Source organism: Homo sapiens, chromosome 10 (genome assembly GCF_000001405.40).
Source record: "Homo sapiens chromosome 10, GRCh38.p14 Primary Assembly".
Taxonomy (NCBI): Eukaryota; Metazoa; Chordata; class Mammalia; order Primates; family Hominidae; genus Homo; species Homo sapiens.
In genome coordinates, this window is record NC_000010.11 from 133,298,159 (window position 1) to 133,315,869 (window position 17,711).

General features: G+C 53.2%; 3 protein-coding genes across 7 annotated transcripts in view, besides 7 other annotated features; 2 read left to right on the top strand and 1 right to left on the bottom strand.

Moving 5' to 3' along the window:
• The window catches only part of TUBGCP2 (tubulin gamma complex component 2), a 33,703-nt gene extending 19,524 nt beyond the window's left edge, over nt 1-14,179 (bottom strand). For 2 of the 4 annotated variants that reach the window (NM_006659.4, NM_001256617.2), the window contains exons 1-4: nt 10,665-10,714; nt 4,634-4,822; nt 1,827-1,955; nt 1,269-1,445 (exon numbers count right to left, since the gene is read on the bottom strand). In NM_006659.4, the coding sequence (NP_006650.1) occupies nt 1,269-1,445; nt 1,827-1,955; nt 4,634-4,783 (456 nt within the window). In that variant the 5' untranslated portion in view covers nt 4,784-4,822; nt 10,665-10,714. Of the gene's footprint in view, nt 1-1,268; nt 1,446-1,826; nt 1,956-4,633; nt 4,823-10,664; nt 10,715-13,461 lie in introns of those variants that run through there. The other 2 variants (NR_046330.2, NM_001256618.2) reach the window with 2 other exon arrangements.
• Nucleotides 9,891-10,120: an enhancer, noted in NCBI's record as "active region_4243". NCBI's record gives its function as "activates an Ori minimal core promoter by ATAC-STARR-seq in GM12878 lymphoblastoid cells {active_cell/tissue: GM12878}" and the evidence as "EXISTENCE:reporter gene assay evidence [ECO:0000049][PMID:35858748]".
• Nucleotides 10,351-11,200: a silencer, noted in NCBI's record as "silent region_2973". NCBI's record gives its function as "represses an Ori minimal core promoter by ATAC-STARR-seq in GM12878 lymphoblastoid cells {active_cell/tissue: GM12878}" and the evidence as "EXISTENCE:reporter gene assay evidence [ECO:0000049][PMID:35858748]".
• Nucleotides 10,351-11,539: a biological region, named in NCBI's record as "H3K27ac-H3K4me1 hESC enhancer GRCh37_chr10:135122506-135123201".
• ZNF511 (zinc finger protein 511) lies at nt 10,756-15,003 on the top strand. 2 transcript variants are annotated; one of them, NR_130127.2, is made up of 6 exons: nt 10,756-10,938; nt 11,232-11,305; nt 11,618-11,819; nt 12,006-12,071; nt 13,558-13,683; nt 14,630-15,003. NR_130127.2 is itself a non-coding variant. In NM_145806.4 (6 exons), the coding sequence occupies exons 1-6, from the start codon at nt 10,786-10,788 to the stop codon at nt 14,706-14,708; spliced, it is 759 nt and encodes a 252-aa protein (NP_665805.2). In that variant the 5' UTR covers nt 10,756-10,785; the 3' UTR covers nt 14,709-15,003. The 2 variants fall into 2 exon arrangements, 1 of the variants encoding a protein (NP_665805.2); NM_145806.4 differs by having other exon boundaries at nt 12,006-12,130.
• The window catches only part of ZNF511-PRAP1 (ZNF511-PRAP1 readthrough), a 43,770-nt gene continuing 36,814 nt past the window's right edge, over nt 10,756-17,711 (top strand). The window contains exons 1-5 of the mRNA NM_001396060.1: nt 10,756-10,938; nt 11,232-11,305; nt 11,618-11,819; nt 12,006-12,130; nt 13,558-13,683. Of these exons, the coding sequence (NP_001382989.1) occupies nt 10,786-10,938; nt 11,232-11,305; nt 11,618-11,819; nt 12,006-12,130; nt 13,558-13,683 (680 nt within the window). The 5' untranslated portion in view covers nt 10,756-10,785. The remainder of the gene's footprint in view (nt 10,939-11,231; nt 11,306-11,617; nt 11,820-12,005; nt 12,131-13,557; nt 13,684-17,711) is intronic.
• Nucleotides 10,844-11,539: an enhancer, noted in NCBI's record as "H3K27ac-H3K4me1 hESC enhancer chr10:135122506-135123201 (GRCh37/hg19 assembly coordinates)". NCBI's record gives its function as "activates a minimal SCP1, AML or CMV promoter by ChIP-STARR-seq in naive H9 embryonic stem cells {active_cell/tissue: H9 hESC(naive)}" and the evidence as "EXISTENCE:reporter gene assay evidence [ECO:0000049][PMID:30033119]".
• Nucleotides 10,947-11,241: an enhancer, noted in NCBI's record as "tiled region #2011; K562 Activating DNase unmatched - State 1:Tss". NCBI's record gives its function as "activates a minimal TATA promoter and a strong SV40 promoter by Sharpr-MPRA in K562 cells {active_cell/tissue: K562}" and the evidence as "EXISTENCE:reporter gene assay evidence [ECO:0000049][PMID:27701403]".
• Nucleotides 15,909-16,178: an enhancer, noted in NCBI's record as "active region_4244". NCBI's record gives its function as "activates an Ori minimal core promoter by ATAC-STARR-seq in GM12878 lymphoblastoid cells {active_cell/tissue: GM12878}" and the evidence as "EXISTENCE:reporter gene assay evidence [ECO:0000049][PMID:35858748]".
• Nucleotides 16,185-16,686: an enhancer, noted in NCBI's record as "H3K4me1 hESC enhancer chr10:135127847-135128348 (GRCh37/hg19 assembly coordinates)". NCBI's record gives its function as "activates a minimal SCP1, AML or CMV promoter by ChIP-STARR-seq in naive H9 embryonic stem cells {active_cell/tissue: H9 hESC(naive)}" and the evidence as "EXISTENCE:reporter gene assay evidence [ECO:0000049][PMID:30033119]".

The following is a 17,711-nucleotide window of genomic DNA, read 5'->3' on the forward strand; positions in this document are numbered from 1 at the left end:
GCAAACACTCAACTAAAGACATGCATAGAAGCTAGCATCTACGGCAAAGATGATTACTCAATTCAACACCCACAAAGGGTCAACCACATAGAAATGAAATGCGCCTCGACATCCCTGCCTGCCACAACGTGAGGGGCTGGGGACAACAGGGCAGATGGGGAGCCCTAGCCCCTCTTCTCAGGAGTGCAGGTCCTGCAAGGGCCCCCCTGGGAAAACATGAGCACCAGCAGTGGGAACCACGGGAGAGGGTGCACCTAGGCACAGAGCCGCTGTTTCAAAGGAGGGCGCCCTGTGAACAAGCTGAATTGCTTCTTTCTGGCAGTGACTAGGTCTGAACACCACTTGATGGGTGAAGACAGGCTTCAGCAACAGACATGCATCCTTACCCTGCCGGAGAAGGGCCCCAGCGTGACAGGATGGCTCCTGACATGTGGTCAGAGAGCCTGCCCTCCTGCGCCAGTGGCCGCCAGAGGCTGATGGGGTCGGCCTGGGCTGGCCCAGCTTTCGGAAGCACTGACTCCCACTCAGGGCTGGTCAGGGACACGGGCAGATGCAAACTGTCTCTGCACGTGGCAGTAAGACCCAGTCTTCTGCCACGGCTGAGGGAGACGTGGACAGAGGCCTAGCACCATGTCCAGCACAGAACGTGCCCAGCAAGAACCGGCTGGGTCCTTGGGAGCCGCTGCACTCAACACGCACCCAGGAGGCTAGGACGCCTCAGGGACACAGCTCCAAAGGGAGTTTAAAGGTCACAAAGGCAGGAACGTGGCAGCTCTAATGAGAGAGACTGGGAGATGACTTACGTCAAAAGACCAGGGTAGGGCATAAAATCAAAACCAAGAGCAAGTAGCAAATACAGAAGGAATAATAAAAATTACTGTATTTTCGAGAATCTTGAAAATATAATGATCTGAAAGCATTCCCTCAAAATTGTCAAAAATTGGAGGAGGGAAATGGGGAGTCAGGATTGGGTAGGCTCAGAGTCACGTGGCCACCTGGCAGCACAACTCCCACGTGGGTCAGAACCTTGCTGCTATTGATTCTTGTGGTCCAGAATTCTTGGTTAAAAAAAAAACTAAACATATAGAGCTAGGTCATGATCAAGCATTAAGCCTTGGCCTCTCTAAGGGATTCATTTTCAATAAATGACAGAGAGACATGTCCTTCCAGCAGGGGCCCGGCACAGCACTGAGTGTGGGTGCCTGTGGACGCCACGGACACAGGACCTGCTGCAGCATGGAGCCTGTGGACAGCCATGGACGCAGTACCTGCTGCAGCGTGGAGCCTGTGGCCACGCTGCCAAGCTGCTTCCTCAGTTCCTCAAGCTCCTGCATGGAGATCTTGGAGGCCGCGGCAGGGACGTTGATGCTGGTGGTACTGCTGCCCACAGCAGCGGCTGCAAGCTCAGCTCTTTCTTTTGCATTCTGTTGTAAGTACTGCAGAGTCTGAAAACATGTAAAACTGTGTGTTCACACTGGGCCAGCACCTCTTTGGCCATAGGGGGAGAGTAGGGACGACACCACCAGGACGGCTCCCCAACCCTGACAGGCACCCATTAATAGCAAAGCGACGCGTGCGACAGGCAGGAACTGAGCGTGACACATGCGGGAAGCTCAAAGTGCCCCAGAGGCTGCTTCTCATGTTTACACCCAACATGGGTTATCTTTCATTCTGATTCACCAAAAATTTCCTACATGGCCTAGAAGCGTTACTGGTGTGAGCGAGGAAGAGCTGACAGGAAGATGGCGTGGAGTGAGCAGGAGACGCGACCCCACTCCCAACATGGGCCGTACGGGCGCAGTGTGGCACGTGGCATGGGCACCTACCTCTTTGTCTTCCGTGAGCTTTGACAACAGGTACACCAGCGGGTCAAGGTTCCTTGTATTTTTAGATTTCAGTTCATCATATTTCTTTAGAAAGTCTTCTGGAGTACGAGAAAACTCTGCAATTTTAACCTCAAAAGCACAAACATGAGTGATTTAATGACGGTAATTAATAAAGCACTGTAAAAAAAAACCTTTACGAAAATTGAACACAATAAGCCAATGGAATTAAATTGGGTAGGTTAAATAATTATCCCTCTGAAATAAACTAACAAAACTCATCTCCATATTGTGTTAAACTTATCCATGTTTTGAGCTAGGCAGTGGCTCATGACTGTAATCCCAGCACTTTGGGAGGCCGAGGCTGGTAGACTGCTTGAGTCCAGGAGTTCAAGACCAGCCTGGCCAAAATAACAAAACCCCATTTCTACAAAAAGATTCAAAAATTAGCGAGGCGTGGTGGCACTTGCCTGTGGTCACTACTTGGGAAGCTGAGATGGGAGGATCACATCAGCCTGGGAGGTTGAGACTGCAGTAAGACAAGATCGTGCCACATGCATTCCAGCCTGGGTGACAGAGTAAGACTCTGTCTCAAAACAAAACAAAACAAACCTTATCCGTATTTCCCATTATGGTTCCTTTCCTTTTGTGCTTCTTCGTATTATTTTAATTTTTTCTAGAGACAGGATTTCACCATGTTGCCCAGACTGCTCTCAAACTCCCAGGCTCAAGCCATCCACCTGCCTCGTCCCAAAGTGCTGGCGTTACAGGTGTGAGCCCCTGCGCCCGCCCTTTTATGCTTCTTCAGGTTTGTACTGGAGAGTAGCGACTTACACTTCCCCCCAGTAGTTTATGCGTTCATTGTATACATTTCACTGTATTCCCTTTTATGCTGCTTCAGGTTTGTACTGGAGAGTAGCAACTTGCATTTCCCCCCAGTAGTTTATGCGTTCATTGTATGCATCTCACTGTGTTCCCTTTTATGCTTCTTCAGGTTTGTACTGGAGAGTAGCGACTTACCTTTTCCCCCCAGTAGTTTATGCGTTCATTGTCTGCATCTCACTGTATTCCCCGCAGTAGTTTATGCGTTCATTGTATACACCTCACTATGTTCCCTCTGGAATTTGTTATTATGTGCAACCCTAGGGGTTATGCTTTTTCTTTTGGACGGAGTTTCGCTCTTGTTGCCCAGGCTGGAGTGCAATGGCGTGATCTAGGCTCACCGCAACCTCCACCTCCCTGGTTCAAGTAATTCTCCTGCCTCAGCCTCCTGAGTAGCTGCATTACTGGCACGCACCACCACGCCCTAATTTTTGTATTTTTAGTAGCGATGGGGTTTCTCCATGTTGGCCAGGCTGGTCTCGAACTCCCAACCTTAGGTGATCCACCCGCCTCGGCCTCCCAAAGGGCTGGGATTACAGGTGTGAGCGACCGTGCCCAGCAGGGGTTATGTTTTACTCAGTGATTTACAATGCTTCCTTCAGAATGAACTAAACATGGGTGTCCCCAAGTCTCTATTCCACTCGGCTAATTTGCCTAATTATCCTTGTGCCATTGTTAACCTGTTTAAATAACTGAAGCTTCATAATGTATTTTTTAAAATAGACTTCAAATTCAAAATCATTTTTACTGAAAATCTATACTTCTGAATTACATATTATCTGAATAAAGAAATAATACCTTAAAGGCATTTCAACATGGTTAATACCAGTCCCTCCCTTTTTTTTTTTTTTTTTTTTTTTTTTTTTTGAGACAGAGTCTCACTCTGACGCCCAGGCTGGAATGCAGTGGCACGATATCTCGGCTCACTGCAAGCTCCACCTCCCGGGTTCACGCCACTCTCCTGCCTCAGCCCCCCGAGTAGCTGGGATTACAGGTGCCCGCCACCACACCCAGCTAATTTTTTGTATTTTTAGTAGAGACGGGGTTTCACCGTGTTAGCCAGGGTGGTCTTGATCTCCTGACCTTGTGATCCACCTGCCTCAGCCTCCCAAAGTGCTGGGATTACAGGTGTGAGCCACCGCGCCTGGCCCAGTCCCTCCCTTTTTATCCACAGGAATGCACATGTCAGGACTCTCCCACCTCATGGCTGCAGGGGACAGAGTGGGGAAGAGGGAGGGTTCTAGGCCCAGCTTTCTCCATAGGCCTCCATTTACTCATCTGCACAGTGGGGTGAATCACAGGAGCTGCTGGGGGGAGTCAGGAGAATCAGAGCTGAACACACACACAGACCAAGTGCTGTCTGCCATCGTTGCCGGTACCATTGAGGCCACCCAGGAACGGGCACTCACCCTGCATCTTGCACGGTACACAGCCCTGCACCAGGGGCAGTGCTCACCCTGCACCATCCTGACCCCGGGGTGGCGCTCACCCTGCACCCCGCACAGCCCTGCACCAGAGGTGGCGCTCACCCTGCACCCTGCACCAGAGGTGGCGCTCACCCTGCACCCTGCACCAGAGGTGGCGCTCACCCTGCCCCCTGCACCAGAGGTGGCGCTCACCCTGCACCCTGACCCAGGGGCGGTGCTCATCATGCACCCTGACCCAGGGACGACGCTCATCCTGCACATGGACTGAGGGGTGGGTTCACCCTGCACCATCCTGATCCAGGAACAGTGTTCATCCTGCACCCTGACCCAGGGGTGGGCTCACCCTGCACCCTCACCCAGGAATGGTGCTCACCCTGTACCACCCTGACCCAGGAACGGCGCTCACCCTGCACCCTGACCCAGGGGTGGGCTCACCCTGCACCACCCTGACCCAGGAACAGTGCTCACCCTGCACAGCGCTACACCAAGGGCAGTGCTCACCTTGGCACTGTGAGCAGAGACAGTGGTAGTGACGTACGGGGTCCTGTTCTTTTGAAGCAGGTCAATGTAGACCTCAGCCCCATCTCCTCCGTGGACACGCAGCAGGCTAAGCAGTTCATTGACGTCATGGTGAATCCGAAATTCACTCATAGTTTTAGCTCTGAGGCACGAACATCACAATATGTTCTCCTATAGGTAAGAAGACAGCTATTCATAAAATTCAAACTGTAGAAATAAAAAACATTTTTTTAAACACTCAAGACTGGCCAATGTCAGGCTTTGACAAACCAAGTTATCACCTGGCCTGCCTGGCCTAGGGCCCCTCCCCCAACAGCCCAGCAGCCTCTCAGAGGGTCCTCTGCATGGGCCTGGGATTAGGGCCCCTGCCCAACACCCCAGCAGCCTCTCAGAGGGTCCTCTGGACGGGACTGGGATTAGGGCCCCTCCCTGAACTCCAGCAGCCTCTCAGAGGGTCCTCTGCATGGGCCTGGGATTAGGGCCCCTCCCCGACACCCCAGCAGCCTCTCAGAGGGTCCTCTGGGTGGGCCTGGGATTCACCTGCCTCCAGCTTCCAGGCGGCCTCCGCAGCTCCGGGAGCCAGCCCCGTGGGCAGCATGAATGGGGCCTGAGACCCAGGTTCCCTTTCCCCTGCACCTCCCTCCACACATGGGTCTGGGCCAGCAGGGAATGCTCTGCTGCTCGCCTCGGCTTGGGGACAGAGCTTTCTGGTCCCAGACGTGAGGCCTGTGGGGTCTACACAGGGAGCTCTGTGCAGGCCCAAGCCATTGACACTGTGCCAGCTACCGGCACACACAGTAACATCCCAGCTTCTACCGGAGAGGCCCACACTGGTTCTCAGAGCCCGCGGTGCTCAGCCGCAGCTCCATTCACTTGGCCGGCTCTGCGTTACTTTTTCACTCTGGTACCCGTGACATCTCCTTTTCTTGCCCAAGCGTGGCTACCGACAGAGACGCTTCTGGTAGGACTTCTACACGTTCCCTACACGTTTGAGCTAGGTGAAGTTCCACTGCAGCTCCAGCTGCCCCAGGGGCTCACCAGGAGACATATAACACATATGAGATCGAAGGCGTCACAGACACCCAAGTGGGCAGCAGAACACTGCGTGGGGTCAGGGTGTAGGGTGAGCCCACCCCTGGGTCAGGGGGCAGGGTGAGCGCCGCCCCTACTCTCCCACCAGTGGCTGCTCATTAGCCTCTGTCACCAAGAGTTCCGATACAAGGCCATTAAGACAAACACATGGCTGTGTGCAGTGGCTCTCGCCTGGAATCCCAGCATTTTGGGAGGCTGAGTCAGGTGAGTCACTCGAGGCCAGGAGTCAAGACAGCCTGGGCAACACAGTGAGACTCTGTCTCTACAAAAAATACAAAAATTAACTGGGCATGGTAGCATATGCCTGTAGTCTTAGCTACTCGGGAGGCTGAGGTGGGAGGATCGCTTGAGCCACTCCAGCCTGGGCGACAGAGGGAGACCCTGTCTCAACAAAAAACAAAACAAAACAAAAAACACAGGCAAGGCAACTGGCTATAGATTACAAAACAAATATAAGCAAACTTTACATGCTTCACAAACATTTCATCTACACAAGGGTTCTTAAGCCGGTATCCATGAGTAATCAGTAACAGATGAGCCCTTGAAAGTTATGGGCAAAATAACTTTTTATTTTCTGAGGAGATGACCCTTCAACAAATTCTCAAAGGCTCTATGACCCAAAAAAGGTAAACAACCACTCTGCTGACAGCTTCAGGGAGACAAGGATGAGCTCAACAAAACATCGAGTGTGGGCGGCAAGCCACCCAGGTGCCGAGGCAAGAGACCGAGGGCACGAGCTGTTCCAGTGTAACAAAATATATAAAACAACAAGAGTTATGCTAGATCTAGATCATAGATATGATTATATATGAATATCATTAATCATCAGTTTGTAGCAATTACTCTTTATTCCAATATTATAATAATCCTTGCTCTACAATCATAACCTAGGAAAAACCAGGCCATACAGAGATAGGAGCTGAGGGGACATAGTGAGAAGTGACCAGAAGACAAGAATGTGAGCCTTCTGTCATGCCCGGACAGGGCCACCAGAGGGCTCCTTGGTCTAGCGGTGATGCCAGCGTCTGGGAAGATGCCCCTTGCCAAGCGGACCTTGGTCTAGCGGTAGTGTCAGTGTCAAGGAAAAACACCCGCTACTTAGCAGACCGGGAAAGGGAGTCTCCCTTTCCCCGGAGAGTTTAGAGAAGACTCTACGCCTCCAACTCTTGTGGAGGGCCTGACATCAGTCAGGCCCGCCCGCAGTTATCCGGAGGCCTGACTGTCTCCCTGTGATGCTGTGCTTCAGCGGTCACACTCCTGGTCTGCTCTCATGTTCCATCCCGTACACCTGGCTCCGCCCTCTAGATAGCAGTAGCAAAATTAGTGAAAGTATTAAAGTCTTTGATCTTTCTGAAAAGAACATAGAAGAAATAATGACATAAGCTGTCCTCTCTCTCTCCGCCTCGGCTACGTAACAGGGAAGGGCCCCATGTCTGGTGGACACATGACACACATGACCTTATCAATCATTGGAGATGACTCACACTCTTTACCCTGCCCCTTTTGCTTTGTATCCAATAAATAACAGCGCAGCCAGGCATTCGGGGCCACTACCGGTCTCTGCGTCTTGGTGGTAGTGGTTCCCCGGGCCCGCTGTCTTTTCTTTTATCTCTTTGTCTTGCGTCTTTATTTTTACAATCTCTCATCTCCGCACACGAGGAGAAAAACCCACCGACCCTGTGGGGCTGGTCCCTACAATAGAGTACAGAAGACTCAGCACATACTCCCACAATATGCTAATTCACTAACGATTATTAGCACGGGACTCGACACCGAGATTCTAATCCTGTGTGATGGAAGACAGTTTATCTGTAGATGAACATCAAATACTGGTCACAGGCAGGGTATCTCCGAAAATGGAAGGAGAGCGATAAGAAGGCATGGTGCTGAGTTGCTCACACACATGCTTTTGACCCAGGAGGTGCTCACGGTAACTACAGTTCAAGCACAAGGCCAGCAGGGCACGCGCCATGGAGCCCCATGCAGTCTGGACACTGACGTGGCTACTTCTAGGCTGTGGGACCCTGAACAAGGACACGTCCTCTCCAAGCTTCTTCTGAAAAGGGGAAGCCCTAGGTCCTGCGTAGAGCTGTGGTAGAGAGAAGTGAAATCACCCTGAGAAAGCACAGAAGGGCCCATACGTGGTAAGTTCTTACACTGTTGTTACCAGGAAAGCAGAAACAAACATGCGGCACCATTGCTCCCTGGAGGTGTTAACTCTGTTATCTGGGAAATGGTTAGGTTTACAAAAGGAAAATTGGGTCCCAATCACTGACAACATCTTAAACTACCAGATGCTTTTTTAACAGTCATGGGAGCCCTGGACGAGGCCCTGCAAACTACTTGTGAAGCAGAAAAGACAGCCCAAACTTTCCGGCCAGCGGCCCCTTCAAATCCAAGGGTGGCCTGTTTCACCCACATTCTACTCGGCTCCCCGAGGACTGCAGGTTGTCCTATAACTGCTGGTCTGAGAAACACTTTGGTCATGCTAGGTGGCAAGAAAACCATTTGCCACCAAAACAAAGCACTCCCCCACCAGACACAAGTCAGGAGAGAAAGCTACCTATGAAGAAAAATCATCTGAGTATTTATTTAAAAACTACATGCTGGGCACGGTGGCTCACGCCTGTAATCTCAGCACTTTGGGAAGCCAAGGTGGGCGGATCATGAGGTCAGGAGATCGAGACCATCCTGGCTAACATGGTGAAACCCCATCTCTACTAAAAATACAAAAAAATTAGCCGGGGGTGGTGGCGGGCGCTTGTAGTCGCAGATACTCCAGAGGCTGGGGCAGGAGAATGGCATGAACCCGAGAGGCGGAGCTTGCAGTGAGCCAAGATCACACCACTGCATTCCAGCCTGGGCAACAGAGCGAGACTCTGTCTCAAAAAATAATAATAAAAAAAATAAAAACTACCTTCAGGAAACTTCGTATCTCTTCTAGAAATAGAAGCACAGATGCCCGCACGTCATGAGTGTTCATCCCATGAGGAGCCTGCTGCTCTCCCTGAATGTGGGGACCGGGCCTCCAAGAGGGCAGCCCGTACTCGCACAGAGTCCCTCCCCCCAGAAGACCTTTGGAAAAGTCCTAGGGCAACTCTGGGGTGTCACGGTCATGGAAGGGTGCTCTCGCTACTTAGAGGGCAAGGGCGGGGGATGCTAATCATCAACAGAGCTGTCCCGCCAGAAATGCACAGCGTCCCACTGAAAACACAGCTCTGAGGAACATCTAGCCGTGGCTGCTTCTTGGAGGAACGTCTAGCCATGGCCGCTGACTTGGCCTTCTTGATGCTCCTGAATTCTTACTATTAATCACACAAACTGACAGGCCCAGCAACTGTGACTGGGAGGGACTGACGTCCTCCTCACAGAGGCTGTGAGCTACCGCAGGGACGCGTGCTGAGGGAAGCAATGCACGCATGTCACACTCCACCACGGACAAGCGGGGCACACACTCCTAGTGAGCACACACTCCAAGTGATTAAAACACAGAGGGACGTGAAAAAGAGTCTCTGTTGAGAGCTCAAAGCTAACTGTACAAATTGGTTTGAAAAATGTTATTTTACAACTTGTGGAAAATGTCAAGAGCCCAAAGGCTTTTACAGAGACAGAAAGTACAGTCATGCATCACTCAACATTCTGAGAAATGCCTGGCCAACATGGTGAAAACCAGTCTCTACCAAAAATACAAAAATTGGCCAAGCCTGGTGGCGCACACTTGTAATCCCAGCTACTTGGGAAGCTGAGGCACGAGAATCGCTTGAACCCAGCAGGCAGAGGTTGCAGTGAGCCCAGATCGCGCCACTGCACTCCAGCCTGAGCGACAGAGAGAGACACTATCTCCAAAAGAAAAAAAGAGAAACGTATGGTTACATGATTTCCTTCTGTGCGATCATCAGAGTCACTCGCAGACCTGGATGGTGTACGGCCTACAATGCACCTAAACCACCTAGAGGAGCCTCTTGCTCGTGGGCTACAAACCTGCCCAGCAGGTGGCGGTGCTGAACACTAGACAACTGTAACACAGAGATATTTGTGTATCTAAACATGGAAAAAGTACAGGGGCAGGCATGGTGGCTCACGCCTGCAGTTACAGCTCTTTGGAACGCTGAGGCAGCAGGACCACTTGAGCCCAAGAATTTGAGGCCGCAGCGATCTATCAGCTATGATCGCACCATTGCACTCCAGCCTGGGTGACAGACGAGAAAGCTAAAGCCTCTATCCGCCACTGGGCCCATTCTCTGCAGTAGATCTGAAGCGTCCACTGCTTCCCGCGTGTGTTGTCATTCACCATTTTAATTAGGTGACTCTTTACTCTGACGTCTGTCTCTCCTACAAGGCTGCCGCGCCCTCCTGTGATGCCTTCCCCCACACGCCCTGAGCACCTAGCACAGGTCCTGTGTTTCACGGGAGCTGCGGGGACTGGAGAGGTCGACAGGACCCCGACAAACCAGGAAAGGGCCTTTGAACTAAAGTAACGGGAAGTCACCCAAGGGCTTTAAATTAAAAACGGTTACAATAAAACTGGAGTCACTTTGGCTCCAGTTCGCGACTGGTTTAGAGGGAACAAGATCCAGGGACTGCAGCGGGAGACGACAGGCGGGGCAAGGCGGACGGGAGAGGGCGTGCGAGAGGGGGACCTGCGACCCGGCTTCCCAGGGCTGGGAGGGGACACCCGGGACGACCCGGAGGCCCGCTCCGCCCCGCCCCGGCTGAGTGTCGGGCCGCGGGGCAAGACGCTGGCCTGGCCGGTGCAGGCCCGAAGGGCTTCGGCCCCAGAGTTCGGGGACCGCTGCACAGCCAGAGGGAGCGCGCGGGAAGAGCCGCGTCCCGCCAGCCCCGTCGCCTCGTGGGCCCCCCCGGGCCTGGCAGTCCCCCAACCCCCTCATCACGCCCGCGCCCGCGTTCGGCCAGGACTCACCGCAGTCCCGGAGCCACAGCCCCCGCGCAGCCCCCGACGGCGGCGGAAGTGAGCGTGACGTCACGTCCGGCTCGGCTCGCGGACGGTGGCCGACAGGCTGCGCCCGCCCGCGCCCGGGGTGATGCAGTTGCCCCCCGCGCTGTGCGCCCGCCTCGCTGCGGGGCCCGGGGCGGCGGAGCCGCTGCCTGTAGAGCGGGATCCCGCGGCTGGGGCCGCGCCCTTTCGCTTCGTTGCGCGCCCCGTGCGCTTCCCGCGGGAGCACCAGTTCTTCGAGGTGCGTGAGCAAAAGAGGGAAAAAGTAGTTGTAGGATCCAGTGGGGCCTACGGCGGCGAGGCGGGGCCGGAGCCTGGAGTGGGAGGGGCCTACGACTGCGGGGCGGGGCCGGAGCCTGGGACAGGCGGGACCTGAGGTGGTGGGGCGGGGCCGGAACGTGGAGTGGGCGGGGCCTGAGGCTGTGGGGCGGGACCGGAGCGCGGGATGACTGGGGCCACGGGTGTGGGCGAGGCCTGACGCGGTGGGCGTGCCGCGAGTCACCTGGCCCCGCCCACGGCGCACTTTTCCTGCAGGATGGGGACGTGCAGCGCCACCTCTACCTCCAGGACGTGATCATGCAGGTGGCCGACGTGCCTGAGAAGCCCAGGTAAGCGAATGGGCAGTGCCTAGCCAGTGCTACTCCTGCGCCGCCTCCCTGACCGGTGCCTGGTCCCTGGGGCTGTGCTGCCGCTCTTCCATGTGCGGCCGCCCCACCGAGGCGCTGTGCCTGTCCAGCTTTGGCGTGGCCGACTCTTCCACCACCTAGCCTGTTTGTGAAACTTAATTCATAAAAAGAGGGTTTGGGATTGCAAAAGATGCATAGGGGCTTTATTGGACGTCTCAAAGGGAAACTGTGCAGAAAGTCCAGCTTGGTTCCTCGCACCGGAGGAAGGGCTCCTGAAGCACGTCTCCTTGGCAGGGTGCCCGCGTTTGCCTGCCAGGTGGCCGGCTGCTGCCAGGTGTTCGATGCCCTGGACGACTACGAGCACCACTACCACACGCTGCACGGAAATGTTTGCTCCTTTTGCAAGCGGGCCTTCCCTTCCGGACACCTGCTGGACGCCCACATCCTGGAGTGGCACGATTCGCTCTTCCAGATCCTGTCTGAGAGGCAGGACATGGTGGGTGACAACTGCACAGCCGCCGAGGCCACCCCCCATTGGTGATGGGCTCAGAGTGCTGCCCCCAGCTCTCGGGTGCTCGGGCAAGGCCGGGGACACCTTTCCGCCCTTGGCAGCTCTGCTACGGGGGCATGGCGGTGGGGGAGGGCCAGGGGTCAGAGGGAGGTGACACGGTCTCCATTTCAGTATCAGTGCTTGGTAGAAGGCTGCACAGAGAAGTTCAAGACCAGCAGAGACCGGAAGGATCACATGGTGAGGATGCACCTGTACCCCGCGGACTTCCGGTTTGATAAGCCAAAGAAAAGCAGAAGGTAGGGAGCCGCCAGGCTCAGCACGTGTCTGCTTTTGATTTTAGGAAAAGGTTTCCAACTAGCCGGAATGCATAGACGGTCAGACTTATTAAGCACTTGTGTGTCACCTAATGGGGTGTTCACCTGCAGGTACCTGAAGCCCTGGCAACACAGCTACAGGTGGTTGTGCCAGCGGCCACCCTGCCGAAGGGAGGCTGGAGGGGAGCCCCTGGCTGCCCAGCTCTGTGCCGGTGGAGGCAGCAGAGGGGGTGTGGGAATGAGCGGGCGCAGCGCCTCCGCACTCACACCCCTCTGGGCCATGCCTGTACCTCCTGCAGCAGTCGGCCGTGGTCATCCGCACTCACACCCCTCGGGGCCGTGTCTGTACCTCCTGCAGCCGTCGGCCGTGCTCACACATCATGCAGCCCTGGCTTTCCTTTTGTCCTGGTTGGTTGTGCGCATATGAACTTGATGACAAAGCTGTTGATTAACATGTTCCTGCCTAGAGTGCACTCTGGGAAATACTTCCAGGAACAATCTTTTTTTTTTTTTGAGACAGGGTCTTGCTCTGACACCCAGGCTGGAGTGTAGTGGTGTGATGTAGGTTCACTGCAACCTCCACTTCTCAGGCTCAAGCGATTCTCCCACTTCAGCCTCCTAAAGTGCTAGGACTACCAACACGCATCGCCGCACTCGGCAAAATTTTCTATTTTTTGTAGAGACAGGGTCTTGCTATGTTGCCCAGTCTGGTCGTGAACTCCTGGGCTCAAGCCGTCCATCTGCCTCAGCCTCCCAAAGTGCTGAGATTGTAGGTATGAGCTACCATGTCCAGCCGGAACAATTTTTAAATTGTGTTATATTTCTTCTTTTTTTAACTGATGAGGTGAACTTTCATAATCATCTACAATTTTATTGATCAGAGTTTTTCAGACTCTACATTTTCTCAAGTAGTAATTTGCTCTTTAAAATAAAAGAACTGGGAGAACCCACTGCAATGTGGGAGGCTTTACAAAGACTTACGTGTAAAGTAATTGTCTCCTTTCCGAGGGATCATTTTAAGGAGAAAAACCGTGCAATGCTGGATTAAGACATTCGTATTATGGAAGAGACTAGTTTATAGTCTCTGGTTAACTTTAGCAAATTTCTCACACTCATAAAAAGACCCGTGGCACCGTTGGCACCATAAAAATACTATTTTCAAAAAAAAGTATGATTGTTACAGTTAAGTTTATAAGATGCAGACTCTATTATATAAACAATGGCCTTGCTGTAATCATTCTCCTTTTCCCAGTATCTTAAACCACACTATAAAATCAGACTATGCCAAAATAGTAAGAAAATATGCTACTTACAGGGAAATCCAGTTTCTTTCTTGCATGTTCATTTCTGGGGAACACAGGGGCTGTGGGAGCCGTGCAGGGCAGTTACTCACTGCTCTCTCCCCGCAGCCCAGCCTCAGCAGAAGCCCCAGGGGACAGTGGAGAGCGGTCAGAAGGGGAGGCCATGGAAATCTGCTCTGAGCCTGTGGCAGCCTCCCCTGCACCGGCAGGTGAGAGGCGGATCTACAGACATAGGTCAGTGTCTGAGCTCTTTCTGAAACCCGTTCTCAACATGTGTTCGGTGCTGAGGATTCTGGGCTGCACCTGGGCCGCAGCTCTTCTCATACTGAATTCAGAAAGGTAACGCTGGGTAAGAAAATCGGCTTCCGCCAGAGAAGAAAGTCCAGATATCTCAGGTCCTGTGAATAACTTAGTTTCTCTCGCATACTCTGTTTTTGAGCCATTGAAGCGCAGGAATGCCAAGCACCACTCACTTTTCCTCATTGTCTGAGTGGGATGGAAAGAGTCTCACTTGCAGTTGCTTCAGTCACAACCCAGGCGTCTGCCTTAATAGCATCACCTGTGCCGTCTGCGTTTCTAGCGTCACCTGTGCCGTCTGCGTTTCTAGCGTCACCTGTGCCGTCTGCCTTCCTAGCATGACCTGTGCCGTCTGCCTTTCTAGCATGACCTGTACTGTCTGCCTTTCTAGCGTCACCTGTGCCGTCTGCCTTTCTAGTTAAAGTTGATTTTAAATTAATTTGGGAAAAACGGTGAACAAGTGGGGAAAAACATCACCAAAGACTCCAAACAGGTGGAACGATGAACTTAATGTTCCCTGCACCCTCCTTACAGATGCCTGGACTTTGGCCTGTGAATGAGCCCCGGGGGGCTGGGACAGTAGGGGTTTTCATGGAATGGACATGGGGTAGCAGGAAGTCTCAGCCCCAGAGGGCTTGGCAGGAGCCGCCCTCTCTGCGGAGTTCTTCCCAGCGGGTGTGCGTTGGTGGCTGGCGGGGACCCCCCACAGGAACTAGGTCTCAGGCTGTGGAAAGGGAGCTGCCCCAGGGCCCAGGAGGGCCGGCTCTGCATTCCGCATGTTCCCAGAGTGAAAGAGAATGAGAAGGAGACACACAAGTGCTGTTATGACCTGGGTTGTTGGTTGGCAAATACAGCATCTAATAGAAACTTTCTTCCATCCCAGAATACCCTCTACCATCTGCTTTGGTCAGGGTGCCGCTCGAGGATTTAAAAGCAACAAGAAGAAAACCAAACAATGCTGATAGACTCAGAAAAGGAGTGGGGGGCAGTCACCACTGCTGGGCGTGGCATCCGCCTTGGGCCTTTCTCCGACCTTCTGGTGTGGCCGCCCTGGGGGCCAGGCCCTCGCCATCCTCCCCATCCTTGTTCCTCAGCAAATGGCATTAGCAGCTGTCATCAGAAGCTGTGAGGGACCCACAGATTTTGGAAACGACCTGGACACACTATTGGGAAGGAGATGTGGACGGCCTGTCTCCTCCTGCAGGGCCCACCCTAAGAATGTATTTTTAAACACATGAAATAAGTATTTTTCACTGATGGTCTTGAGTCTTCATTTCTGTGTTGAGTCAGGTGCGGAGTGGTTATTGTTACCCATGGGTATTCTGTTTTCCACCCTCAGTTTTCAGGAAGATTTATAAAGTCCTGGCACCCCTCAGAGGTGGGTGATGGGGTAGGATACAGCACTCCACCTCGTCCCGGACCTCCTGGCTTTGGGAGCCACACCCAGTTGTCCTTGCCACACCACTTAGGGAGTAGACCTGGTGGGGGTAGGATCTGATGCCCACAGGGAGGGGCACTGGCTCTGGGGGCATGGGGTGCTTGGGGGTGTGTGGGATGCTGGGGGAGTGGGGGGTGCTGCCCCAGAGGGTGCAGGATCCATCACTAGTGCCAGCGGGGACCACAGAGCCTGCATCAGGAAATGCAGGCCAGGAGATTGGGGCTGGCATTGGATTGCAGAGATACACTGGGGGCAGTGTGTCCTGGAGAAATCACTCTGTTTTGATAAAATTAGGGCGCTCAGAGACTCCCGACCACGTCTTCCTCCAGCGGCCCTGTTCCCACAGCATGTGATATAGGCGGCAAGCCACCCAGGTGCCAAGGCAAGAGAACGAGGGCACGAGCTGTTCCAGTATAACAAATATATAAAATAACAGGAGTTATACTAGATATATGTCATAGATATGATTATATATGTATCACTAATCATTAGTTTGTAGTAATTATTCTTTATTCCAATATTATAATAATCCTCACTCTACAATCATAACCTAGGAAAAACCAGGCCATACGGAAATAGGAGCTGAGGGGACATAGTGAGAAGTGACCAGAAGACAAGAGTGTGAGCCTTCTGTCATGCCCGGACAGGGCCACCAGAGGGCTCCTTGGTCTAGCGGTGACGCCAGCGTCTGGGAAGATGCCCGTCGCCAAGCGGACCGTAGTCTAGTGGTAACGTCAGTGCAAAGGAAAAGCACCTGCTACTTAGCAGACTGGGAGAGGGAGTCTCCCTTTCCCTGGGGGAGTTTAGAGAAGACTCTACTCCTCCACCTCTTGTGGAAGGCCTGATATCAGTCAGGCCCGCCCGCAGCCATCTGGAGGCCTAACCGTCTCCCTGTGATGCTGTGCTTCAGTGGTCACACTCCTAGTCCGCTTTCATGTTCCATTCTGTACACCTGGCTCTGCACTTTAGATAGCAGTAGCAAAATTAGTGAAAGTACTAAAAGTCTCTGATATGCAGAAGTAATGGCGTAAGCTGCCTCTCTCTCTCTGCCTCTCTGCCTTGGCTGCCAAATGACGAAGGGCCCCCTGTCCAGTGGACACGTGACACACGTGACCTTACCTATCATTGGAGATGACTCACACTCTTTACCCTGCCCCCTTGTCTTCTATCCAATAAAAGTGCAGCCTGGCATTCTGGGCCGCTACCGGTCTCCGCGTCTTGGTGGTAGTGGTCCCCCGGGCCCAGCTGTCTTTTATCTCTTTGTCTTGCGTCTTTATTTCTACGATCTCTTGTCTCTGCACACGGGGAGAAAAACACACAGACCCTGTGGGGCTGGTCCCTTCATGTGACTGGTGTGCTCCTGGCCCCCTGCCCCTGGCATTGCCTCACAGCCCACTCCTTTTGGGGCTCTGGGTCTGGCTGGAGGCAGTGGGTGGTCATCTGCAGCTGCTGCCCAGCTCCACAGGATGATGCTGAGAGCTCTCCAGCAACCTGGAGTCAAGGAATCTCAAGGGCCTCAGGTTCAGAGCTGACATGGCACAGTGCTTCGTGCTCTGAAAACTGAAGGCAGGTTCCCAAGCACTCAAGGGAAGACACTAAAGCCTGAAGCCCAGGCCTGGGTGCATCAGTGAAGAGAGGTTTCACACGCACATGTGTGGGGTGGGAGATGAGCACTGGCCGAGGGTGGCTGTGGTGGGGCCGCCCGGGGCCTGTCGGCTGCTTGAGAAAGCACAACACAAGAAAAATGCAAACACGCAGATTTACTGCTGGTTCTCCATCTCCCTGAGAAGATCCTGCCCCAGCCCGTTGAATCCTCTGGCTCTTGCGTGAGCTCCCTGCACAAGGCCAGCAGCACAGCCCTGGCGGCAGCGCTCCACGAGGATGTATTAGCCCTTTCCACAACAGCAGATTCTGCTAAAACTCTTTTGTTCACAGCAGGACTGTTCTATACCCTTCGGGGACTGTTGGTCCTGGCTTCCAATCCTAGCTTCATCTCTGCCTGGAAGCGATTTGTTTATTCTGTCTCAGTTTTTCTTCTGACAAGTGGGGAGTGTAAAACTTCGGTATGAAGAATGTTACTGTTTTGTTTCAAAGCCAGCATCATAACTGTACGTGGGCTGCATCCGTTTCTAAGAAGATACTCATGTTTCTTTTCTTTCTTTCTTCTTTTTTTTTTTTTTTTTTTTTTTTTTTTTTTTTGAGGCAGGCTCGCTCTTCTTGCCCAGGCTGGAGTGCAGTGGCATCATCCTGGCTCACTGCAACCTCTGCCCCCTGAGTTCAAGCGATTCTCCTGCCTCAGCCTCCTGAGTAGCTGGAATTACAGACACACAACATCGTACCCAGCTACTTTTTGTATTTTTAGTAGATACAGGGTTTCACTATGTTGGCCAGGCTGGTCTCGAACTCCTGACCTCAGGTGATCTGCCTGCCTCAGCCTCCCAAAGTGCTGGGATTACAGTCATGAGCCACCACGCCCGGCAGAGATGCTCGTGTTTCAGCTGCAAGACCTGTGAGAGCTGAAGCCAGC